This window comes from Homo sapiens, chromosome 12, assembly GCF_000001405.40.
Source record: "Homo sapiens chromosome 12, GRCh38.p14 Primary Assembly".
In the NCBI taxonomy this organism is placed as follows: domain Eukaryota; kingdom Metazoa; phylum Chordata; class Mammalia; order Primates; family Hominidae; genus Homo; species Homo sapiens.
The window spans coordinates 33,670,991-33,683,344 of NC_000012.12; positions in this window are offsets into that span (position 1 = coordinate 33,670,991).

Genomic DNA, 12,354 nt, shown 5'->3' on the forward strand with positions numbered 1-12,354 from the left:
CTCACTCTATCACCCGGGCTGGAGTGCAGTGGTGCGATCTCAGCTCACCGCAACCTCTGCCTCCCGGGTTCAAGCGATTCTCCTGCCTCAGCCTCCTGAGTAGCTGGGATTACAGGCATGCACCACCACACCCAGCTAATTTTTGTATTTTTAGTAGAGACGGGGTTTCACCGTGTTGGTCAGGCTGGTCTCGAACTCTTGACCTTGTGATCCGCCTGCCTCAGCCTCCCAAAGTGCTGGAATTACAGGCGTGAGCCACTGCACCCGGGCTGTCTCATGACATTTATGCCCTCAAGTCACCCCCTTTCTTGGAGATGGAGCTGGACTACTTGACTCCCAATGAATAGGCTACAACAGAAGTACTCAGGTGTTGCTTCTTCGGTTACAAAAAGACTGGCTTTCATTGTAGATGTACGCTCTTGCTCTGTCACTCTGAGGGAAGCTAGCTGCCATCTTGTGTGCTGCCCGATGTGGAGGCCTGCATTTATTTGCTAGGGCCACCATATCAAAACACCACAGACTGTGTGGCTTAAGCAACAGAAGTCTATTTCCCACAAGTCAAAGATCAAGGTGCAAGAAGGGTTGGTGCCTCCTGAAGCTACTCTCCTTGGCGTGCAGATCCAGCCCTCTTGCTGCCTCTTCACATGGTTCTCCCTTTGTGCACCAGTACTCTTCAATGTTTAACCCTCTTTTTATAGGGACATTAGTCAGCTTGTATTTTTTCCTACCCTAAAAAATAAATCTTCATTTAATCACCTCTATAAAGGCACTATCTCCAAATATAGTCAGGTCTTAAGGTATTAGCAGTTAAGACATTAACATATGAATCTTCAGCCCATAACAATACCCCCATGCCAAGGAATGGAGGCCTCAGTCCAATAGCCTGTGGGAAACTGAATCCAGTAAGCAGCCATGTGAGTGAGCTTGGAAGCAGATTCTCCCCTAAGATAGCCTTCAGATGAGATCAAAGACCTGGCCAAAGGCCTGACTGTAATCTCATGAGTAAACTTGAGCCAGAGGCATCACTACTGGCATTAATGACCTACAGAAACTGTGAGATGATAAATCTTTGAGAGTTTTTTTTTTAAAGCTTTTGAATTTCGTAGCAATTTGTTATACAGCAAGAGAAAAATAAGACAGTACTTTCAAATCATCATGAGTTTTGTTTGTTGTCGGGTCTGTATTTTTTGGAGTAGAAAAAAAGGAGTTTTTAAAGAAGTTTTAGAGTGAGTAGGTGCTGCATTGCACTCCTCAGATTCCCCTCATCAGGTCTTTTATTTTTATTTATTTTTTTTGAATTGAGACGGAGTCTCTCTCTGTCTGTCACCCAGGCTGGAGCGCAATGGCACAGTCTTGGCTCATTGCAATCTCCGTGGCCCAGGTTCAAGCAATTCTCCTGCCTCAGCCTCCTGAGTAGCTGGGATTACAGGCGTGCACCACCATGCCTGGCTAATTTTTGTATTCTTCGGTAGAGATGGGGTTTTGCTGTGTTGGCCACGCTGGCTTGAACTCCTGACCTCAGGTGATCCACCCGCCTTGGCCACCCAAAGTGCTTGGGATTATAGGCGTGAGCCACTGTGACCTGCCCCACATCAGGTCTTAAACACTCATTTACCGGCTACAGAAAATGTTGGTTGTTGATGGCATACAGCTGCATCCCAACAAAAATTGCATTCAGCTGACAGTTAATTTGTCTAATGTTTGAAATCCTAATGTATCTCTGTAGGGACTCTGGCTTTTCAGAGCATTTTCCAAACGCGTCCCTCATAAATTGGACCAGGCATAAGGAAAATATTGCCATAAGTTGCATTTTGCTTTCTCTTGGTGCTTTATACTCCCCTTGGGATTCAGTCCTTGTTTATCCTCCAGCAAGATATATAAGACTTAGGGGACAAAAAGGCAGAAGCACTACCTCTTTCAGAAATAAATTTTATTCCTTGCTACATTTAGGATAAAAGACCCAGTCCTCTTTATTATAAACTCAGGAATTGCTCTAATGGGGCTTCCAAGGATGTTACAACTGCCTTTCAGGGCCATTAGGCAGCAGCAAGGTGATAGCACTGCTTCCTGATTGCTGCTTGCAAAAGCGTTATTCAAAGCAAGTAGAAGCAGTTGAAACTCTTTCCTCACTACACTGGCATATATTTCAATGATGATCACCGTAATTTTGACTCTCTTCCTGAAATAAGACAACAAAACAGAATGTAAACATTTTTTTGAAGATCAATTGATTTTTTTAAACTGGAAGCAAGCTGACCTTTTCAAAAAGTGCCATAAGAAATTGAGAATTGAAGTCATGTTATTAGGTATTTTGTTAGAAAAGCTAAATCCTCTGAATCCATAATCACTTTTATTCATGAGCTCTACATTCAATGACTTCCAGTACTCTACAATCTCAAATGTCAAGGTAAAGTGTTCATACATTAGAGCTTAGTTGCAAACACTTCGCTACATTAGGTGCAATTTAACCAGGAAAAGCGATATTTAAAAACATGACCACCAAATAGTATAATAGCTTGGTATAGACTGAAAATGATCATATGCTACATTAGGAGAGCTATTCGAGTGTGCAAATAAAGGCATCCCAAATAATTCTGGGCATTTGGATAAGAAAATAAGTATGTTTAAATATGCTTAACACAAAGAAGACAAAATGAAATGCAATTCTGAAGCCCTTATCTTTTATTCATATTTTAAATGTTTGTGCCTGACATTTATTTTACCAATCTAAAAATTCTGTTTTAAACTCCATGCGCAACCAACATTCTGTGCAATTTAGATTACTAATAGCTCAATGTAAATTATGAACAACCTAAAATTCTCCTAGAACTCTACTGTACTGGAAAGTTCATTATTGGGTACCCAAGAAATTCAGGCCAAAATTTAATTGAAAACATTGTTTCAATTAAGTCTGTGACAATGATGAGAGTATCAGTGTGTGTGTGTGTGTGTATGTGTGTGTATGGTGTGTGTGTGTCTGTGTTGTTCAGCTGATTTCAAATCAAGGATGAAATTATTTTCCAATGGAAAAATCAGTGAGATCAGTGAGATGAAAGGTAATCTTCTAGTTCTGAGTCTATCATTATCTACCTGTATAACTTTACCTTCTTTGTATCTTAGACTCTTTTTTTTTTTTGTAAATTGACAATTTGAAAAAATATTGAGTCATTCTTATTTTTTTTTTGTTAGGCAAAATAATGAAAAATTGGCTAAATATTTTGTTAACTAGAGCATGAATTTGTGTAGATGAGTCTTAGGCAAAATAATGTAATTAAGATACCACATAGTTCTCAACTGAGTTTCACTTTACATGTTAAGAAAATAGATATTAAAACTGAGTCTTTTAATGTCTCAATATGTGTTTCAAAGGATGAGAAGATGTAACACAATGCACTGGGAAAGCTTCCAGAGAAGTATTGAGACAAGAGTTCGCAGGTGACCCCTGAGAATCTATAATCTTTTAAGACAAGGATCATAAATCTATCCAAGAATTATCCTAGAGCAGTGTGTTGGATTTTTTCTGGGCTCTCATAAATATAAAAATACATATTAATACCCCTTAAATCCATATAGAAAGAGAAGGACTAGACTATATTTTCTCTTAGGCAAGTGTGCAGGTTTCCATTTTGAGTAGGCATTGGAAGCAGAAATCTTCTTGATACTCAAGAGAAAAACATAGTGAAGAATCATGCTAAAAATAAGGAAAATGTTACAAATTATTTGCTACATTAAATATGATTATTAAAAACAGAAGCCTTTGGTACCAAAGTCATCAAAAGAAAAAGAAAAACAACCCAGAACCTTGAGCTGTATTTCTTCTTCATCTCTGAAATAATGCATCTTCAATGAATGAGGTGGCTTTGTATTAATATTAATGATGCCGAGTCTGGTAAAAAAAAAATTCCTCCAAATGGATTCCTTAGACAAAGGGACTTATTGTCCAAAGCAGGATGTTGAAAATTCATAGAAAACAATTAAAAAGCAACATAGCTATCTCTTTTACCCCTACTAGGAAAGCAAAAATTTTCAAGCTAAAATGACTTAATCTTAAAATACAAAACACACTTTTAGATGTTAAATTCATCTCAAGAAAATTTTGAGCAATGTACTACATTATGCTATGAAAGATATTGCCCTGGGGTGGGGGAGGTGGAGAGAATGGAAACATTCTAACAAGTTGCATAAAATATTGTACACAAAATTACATGAATGATAAGAAATGTAATGGTTCCAAAAGCTCTAACCCAGGCAAAAACCCAGGAAACCTTTTGGCAAAAAGCGTCTGTATCTTTTAGTTGAAAATGCTGAATGGAGTAAGTAACATTTGCTCAGCATCAACTATATTGTGAATAAAACAAAGAAACCCAGGAGAAAGTTTAGAAAATACAATCCAGGAATATTATTATTTCTGGTCAAATGGCAAGGAGTTGATCCCAGCACTTTGGGAGGCTGAGACAAGCAAATCACTTGAGGTCAGGAGTTTGAGACCAGCCTGGCCAACCTGTCTCTACTAAAAATACAAAAAAATTAGACAGGCGTGGTGGCATGTGCCTGTAGCCCCAGCTACTCAGGAGGCTGAGGTAGGAGAATCGCTTGAGCCCGGGAGGCGGAGGTTGCAGTGAGCCGAGATCACACCATTGCACTACAGACTGGGCAACAGAGCAAGATTGTCTAAAGAAAAAAAAAAAAAAGACAAGAAGTTGGATATAAGGGGTGACAAAAGATAGCTTGGGTTATAGTGTTTTTTTCTCCCTTGAATGTTTCTAAATACTATTACATCATTGTCTCCCAGAATATGGAAGTGTGGAGATGACAGAAATCAGCAAAATATTGGTATTTTAAAAATATATATATATATAAAAACAGCTTTCGAAGCTTAGATGTTTGTAGACCTTGTTTATTTTCCATGATGTTCAAGCATTTCTCCCGTTATTAATTCCTTTTAATGAAGTTTCTCGGCTTCTTACTGAGCCCTTGACGCTGGCAACTCCAGCCTTTCTTAGTTCAGCTATTGCCTCTGCCCTTTCCTCTGCCTGTCACACTTATTCTCTATTCCTTTCATCCTCCACTGTTCCTACTAAGAAAATCCCACTGATGAGGACCATTCAAATAGGAGGGGAGATTTCCTATCTCCTCCATGACAGTCTTGGTGAATCCCCCATGACATGGTAGAACTGTACCACAGATGAAACGTTTATAGCACTGACAACAGATGACCTTTTACCTTCTTTTTGCAAGATTATTACATCAATGTCTTTTTCTCTCCATACTCTTTAAGTTTAATGAAGACAATGGCCATGGGCTTTTTAAAATAATTATTTTACTTACAATGTCCAATATCTATTCAAAATACAAATATATGCATTTCTTGAATAACTGTTATCAAGGAAATTATATATTTATCCTTCATTTGCGCTCATGCTCTTTGTTTTTCTCTCTCTCCTTCTACAACTCCTATTCCAAATAGATTCTCTTAAGACTTGGTTTTATGGTTCATTTATTTTTTCTCTTTATTTCTTCTTTGAGTTCCATAAAAACTGCTGAGGCTTATGCTCTTTGTTACTAAATCAGTTATCCCCTATATACATCTATTATTTATAGAGTCCATAATGGTATTTGTTACTAAATTCAAACTTTTCATTACCATGGAGTTTCCTTTTGAATTTTGCATTTTTCCTCTTTATTATCACTTATTTTGATTTGTTAATGCAATATATTCTCTTGAATTTTAAGTAAATGAATTAAATATTTAAATTTGTCTTCTTTTTTTCCTCATTTTAAAATTTTCTTTGGTGGGGGTAAATATATTTCATAGTCTTAAAGCTATTATTTCTTCTTCCTATTAGTTCTCTAATTTCTTATTATATTTATTCATATTCTTATTATTTTTTCTTTTTCTTATAACTAAAGAAGAAGACTTATACTCAGCTAGCTATGAAAGTTCATACAGACTTTCTCAGTCATTCAAAATGAACCAGGCTGGTGGAGATAGTTTTTCCTCTACAACAATAGTCAAGGGAGAAATATAAAAATGGGACAATTTTCTGCCCCTGCAATATGACTCATGGGCCAAAAATATTTATAGCTACTCCTCTGTGCATCTAAATTCAGATGTCCTTGGAATTCAGCTTCTGTCATGTGTTGAAAGAATGATATATTAGAAATCTTGTTTTTAATGCTAAATCTTACGGTTTTTCAAAAAAATTATGATTTTTGACTGCAAGAAACAATATTTTGAGCAAAGCTTTCAATTTTTAAATATTTCAGTTGACAATAATTTTCTAAATATTTGGGATTTCTCACATTTTTTCAATATTAGAGTAGCATGTTTTGGGGCTTTCCCCCTCATTTAAGTATTTTAATCAGCCATTCAGTAAATGTTTTCCCTAGAGAAGATACTGCCTTTTGATTCTAATAATGTGAGGTATTGTAGCTTGTATATGGTATCAATTTATGCCAGAAATGTATTACTATTTTCTTTAAATAAACTATGAATGCTCTAAGAGTTCAGCCTATTAGCCACAATCCACTCTTGAAAATAAAGAAAGGCCACTAAATAGAGATGCGGGCTGCTATAAAGTTTAAGAAATCTTGTTTTAACACTGAAAAAAGAAAATGTGCAGTTAAAACACTGATTTGATTTCCTAATATTCAGTCACACTAATTAATCACATTTGATCATTCAGCTATTTCTTTTTTGTTTCTTTTGATGTTTTGACTTTCAATTAACTAATACAGAAATACTGCAGTGTCTGCATATTAATTAAGTGTATTGCAGTTTTCTCCCAATTATAATTATAAAAGTAAAAGAGACCAAATCATTATCTATAGAGACAGAATGAGAGAGAAAGATGGAAAGCCAGTGTGTTCTCACTCCATGGGAATAATAACCCTCCTTAAAACTTTTACTGTAAGTGGAATTACAGCCTGCCTTATCCATATCTAGAATAGCTAGCTATAATACAGCAATTTCACTCTGAGCTATTTAACTAAAAATAAAAGGAAAACCCCACAGCTCATGTACATAGATATTTATAGCAGCTTCATTCATAATAGCCAACAGCTGTAAATAACTCATTGTCCATCAGTGGGCTAAAAGATACAAAAATTGTGGTGTGATCATACAATGGCATAATACCTAGCAATATAAATGAGCCAATTGCTAATGCAAGCAAAAACTTAAGAAATCTCAATCAAAAGCATCGTGTTAAGCAAGAGATGTCAGACACAGTACCATTTCGAAAAAGTCAAAAATTTTAATCACTTTTCTCACTATGTTTTGATAGTACTTCTTCCAGTGTCCCCAATTCCCTTTAATCACATTGTAATATTCCAATGTTCCCGCAAGCACTCCTCTGTGTCAAAGACCAATGTTGTTTATCTCTATAACGCAGAGTAGAGCACAACATATGTGAAAGACCTGTGTCATTTATCTCTATAACTCAGAGCAGAGCACAGCATCTAGCGCATATAGCAATCTTAATAAATATTTCCTGAATAGCCAGCCCAGTTTCTGAATTGGCCCTGAAATTCTAAGATGGCCTTCAAGATTTCAACCTCCCGTTGTACATACCCTGTAAGATCCCTTCCCAGTGAGTGTAGGTAGAACATGTGAATGTGATCGGATAGTCACTTCTGTGATTATAATGCATTATATGGGACTCCACTCTAACACATTAGGAGGGATTCTCCAGCTGGCCTTTAATTAGAAAGCAAGCTGCCAGGTAGTGAGAGGCCCACATGGACAAAACCTGAAGGTAGCCTCTAGGAGCTGTAAACCACCTTGGCCAACAGCCAGCAAGAAAATGAGGACTGCAGCCCTCCAACTGCAAGACACTGAATTCTGCCAACAACCTGAATGTGCTTGGAAGAGAAACTCGCACTCTAAATGAGAACATATCTCAACTTATTTCAGCCATGTGAGACCTTGAACAGAGAATCCAGCTGTGCTGTGCTTGGACTTTTCGTCTACAGAAACTGTGAGATAATAATTGTATGTTTGTTTAAGCCACTAAGTTTGTGGTAATTTATTACAGAGAAATTGAAAAAGAGTATAAAGTCCTTTGAATAATGTGTGTTGTTTAAAGTGTGCAGATTGGTTTATGCACAAAGAAGATGACCAACAAGTATTTACATCAAATACTCTGATTCCTTAGTTAATGAATTGGATATGCTATTCCATAGAACAGTTCAGATTAATTTATAGCCATAAAGGATCAGGAAAATGATAAAAGTTTGCTATATTGGGATGATGGACTAAATTATTCTATATATTGCCCACACGCTGAGAGACCATGGCTCAAACCTGCACATGTACCCTTGAATTTAAAAGGTAAATAAAAAAGAAATATTGATGATAGAATAAAGAGAAATATAGAACAAAGAGAATAAATTTCTTACTAATTATTTTGCATTAAATTATATGACTATGGCATTTACTGAAAAAAAAAACTGTTGATTTTTAAATACTCTTAAAGTATATTCTGAATTAAGGAACATTTCTTCAACACATTAGAAACATGGATCCCCAAGACCTATGGCAGATATCATCACAAAGCACTCACAATAAAAATTTTTTGAAGGCAAAATTAAGGGCAAAATTATATCAAAATTAGTTAAGGCTTAGAAGTGTAACACTCTTAATCTGTTTAGATCAGTAATTCATTTCTACTTCACTGAAGTTACTTCATTAGCTTTACTAGAGTTATAGAAAGACAGAACTTTTGGTAGGAAAATGTGTTAATTGCAGCGTGGGGAAATAATGCTGTGCAAGTCATTTGAGTTTCAACAGTAAGAGGGTTGGATTCCAATTCCACTGAGTTACTTAGAAACTTGGCCTTCTGTAACTTAATGTCTCATCTACAGAACCGAGAGAATGATGCCCATCTTAAATGTTTATTGAGAAGGTAAGAAATAACATTTTTGATGTTATTTCTCAACATCAGCAACAGAGCATGTTGAGCAACAGAGCATGCTCAACATATGTGGTCTTTAATTATTAGTTGGATAATTTATTTTACCATGACAATGATGTTATTTGAGGAGGTTCTGATTTAAGTGTTCTGAACTAATGAGTAAATGAAGAATTGAAATATTCTAGGAGTACAATAGTGGACTGAAATAACATTTTCCTTCTAATGTGATATGGAGAGAAAAAGTGTAACATCTTGAAAAGTACATAGACTTTAGATTCAAAAATACTTCAATCAAATAAATCTCCATTGGTTCCCAACTGTGAGATCTTGTGCAAAATGTAAAAAGAAAAGTACTAACAATTGGAATAATGTTAAAATAACAAATAGAATAGCTTTGGAATAGAGCTTAGTTCAATGCCAGCCACATCAGAGTCATCTAAAACTGGAAGCTCCTAATAATATTTCATTTTATATCTTAAAGTAACTGCATATCCTAATTTTTTTTCCAAAAGTACCCATGTCAAATCCACAGGTTAAATTATTTCATAAGTATTAGGAACACATTCTATCTAGTTCTGCATTTTGACCATTACTTAAACAAGTTATACTATTATTTTTATTCTCTTCCGAAGTAACTTTAATATTTGTTTTATTTTCACAGAAAGGATTTGCCCCCAGCCTTAGCATCCAATAAGAACAATGAATAACACTTTTCTGATACAAAGTGTTCTGATGCTCCATTAATATAGGCATATACTTACGCTGGGCAATTTGCTGTAATTACAGTCTGACTATTTAAATCTCATGTGGAATACCATAAAAACAGGAAAAACCTAATACAAATATGTGAATCAAGGGATTGTTTTAATGCGTTGGGAAACTATAAGCACTAATTATACTTTAAAATGTGTCTATACTGCAAAAATAATCATAAAGTAGGAAATTATAAAATGATATGGTATATAATGTATTGATGGCATAGCACATAAATATATAGGTATATAGAATGCCTGCCTGTGCAATAAAAATTATTTGTTTTGAAAAATTAAAAGGTTTCCTTATCCTATTTTTATTCTTTAAATACAGAGTTAAAACAATCCTCTCTACATTAAATAGGCTCACAATACAAATTTATGGAATTTTAGCAGGAACTCAGTTTTTAATTTTGAATAATCCACTTCGTTATGTAATATGTATGGAGTTGGGAAGCAAGTCAACTCTAAATGAAACTACACAAAGTCCATTTTATGAGGAAAGAAGTGAACTATCAACTTTTACTATCTCTAGAGGTTGAGTATTTTTTGGAAATTGAATTTTACAGAAGTAATAGAATTAGGAATCAGTAAATGGAAATATCACAGGAGAAAAGTCTAAAAACAGAATAAGGATTCCCAAAAGCAAGGGAAGGAAGCAAACTAGGAAAAGGCCAAGACTCCAAACCCCAAAAGTAAAGGTATCTATAATTTTTGATGGTAATTCAAAACTGAATTGGAAAATAGATGCTTAAGTTTTTAATTATTTATAGTTGTTTCTTTTGTCATAAAATTTACTCATGTAATCATAGGACTGCTTACTTTAGAATGTGTTCCTTCTCAGTCTCACTGTTTTGTTAGCCTATTTTTGCCCTTACCTATTCAAGTTTCCACCATTTTGCATAAAATGGATGAGTGTAGGCAGAATTTCAACATGTGACCATTGTTTCCAGATCTCAATTGGGACAATATCTAGATAGATTAATATTTTCAATCTTGGCTACTTGGCACAATATTTGAATTTTGAAACTTAAAACAATGAAATCCTAAACTTACAAGATCTTATGCAAAGGAAATTGCTTAGGCAAAGAATCTCAAATATTGAAGATTGTAAGAGGGCAACACTTAAATGTCTTCTTTCAATTTTCTTTTGAGAAAAATGCCAGTCCTAAGTTATGAATGAATTAACCGGACTTACTCTATGAATGGAGAGGAATAATCCTGGGTCTTTGACTACAATGAGTTAATGGACTATCATTGATTTTCATAGACCTAGTAATTAACAGCCTCATCAGAAGTGAAGTGAGACACAGCCTAACATTGATGCATTTTAGAAAAGAGCTATAATTTTTACATTTGTGAGTCTCAATTAACATTGCATTCAAAGATTAAGGACATAAATAATTAATTAAAACATGGATGAAAGAAAACAAATTTAGGACTTATCATCCCTGTTTTTTTCTTTTTGAGACAGGGTCTCACTCTGTCACCCAAGCTGGAGTGCAGTGGTGAGATCTTGGCTCACTGCAACCTCCACCTCCTAGGCACAAGTGATTCTCCTTCCTCAGCCTCCCAAGTAGCTGGGACTCCAGGCGTGTGCCAACACATCCTACTAATTTTCATATTTTTTAGTAGAGATGGGGTTTCACCATCTCGAACTCCTGGGCTCAAGCGATCTGCCCGCCTTGGTCTCCCAAAGTGCTGGGATTACAGGCATGAGCCACCACCCCTGGCCTTATCTTCCCTCTTTATCTAAACTTTTAAAAATTGTATATTCTTCCTTAATAATTTATAAACTTATGGAAGTTTTGGCTCGTCCCATAGTTATGGCTTGCTGTGAAGCTCTGAAGCTTTTCAGTGTTCTAAGTTCTTTTGTAATTTATGAAGTGCATTCAAATAAACTAATTCATTTTGATAGTGCTCTTTACATGTTGGTTGTTCAATTTCAGGGGTCGTTAGAGCTGTAACCTTCTTGCATCACACACTTAATAAAAATGGAATGAAAAGTCATGATCCAAAACCTGACAACTGTGTGAAACCTCTCTGCTCTTCTAGATGTATTTTTGTCCACTGAGGAAGAACTTTCCTTTTTCCTTCAACTTAGTGTTTTGAAGAATGTGTTATGTACACATATAATGCTATATCGGATAATTGTAGGCAGTTCACTGACAAACATTTATACTTACATCTATTAAATTTTTTTTAAAAGCATATGTACATTGAATTCATAATTCCAAAGATATCACTGTATAGGAATAGAATAAATTAGAAAAAGAGTTAACTTAATACTGAATTAAACTACATAAATAATAAGTTATTAGTTATGATAAATATGACATAACACAAGTAATAGTTGTATTCATTTATGACAGAAAAATTATAAAATTTGTAAGAAAATAAAGATTGAGAAATACTTATTCTACATGCTGGCCTACTGAAAGTTCTATAATTTCTGTTTATTCCGCAACATATCTCTTTAGAAACTGAGAAAATCTGAGTACCTATCATTCAATTTGTTGTGCCTAATTTTGGAGGATCAGAATGGTAATGTGGAAAGGAGATTCAGTTATAATTCCTGCTCTGAGAATTATAAGATATATGTGGAATTGGAGAATTATTGAAGCTCTCAGAGCAATTCTGGCAAATCTAATAAGTCAAATTTATAAATGAAACAGATTAGCTTGTCT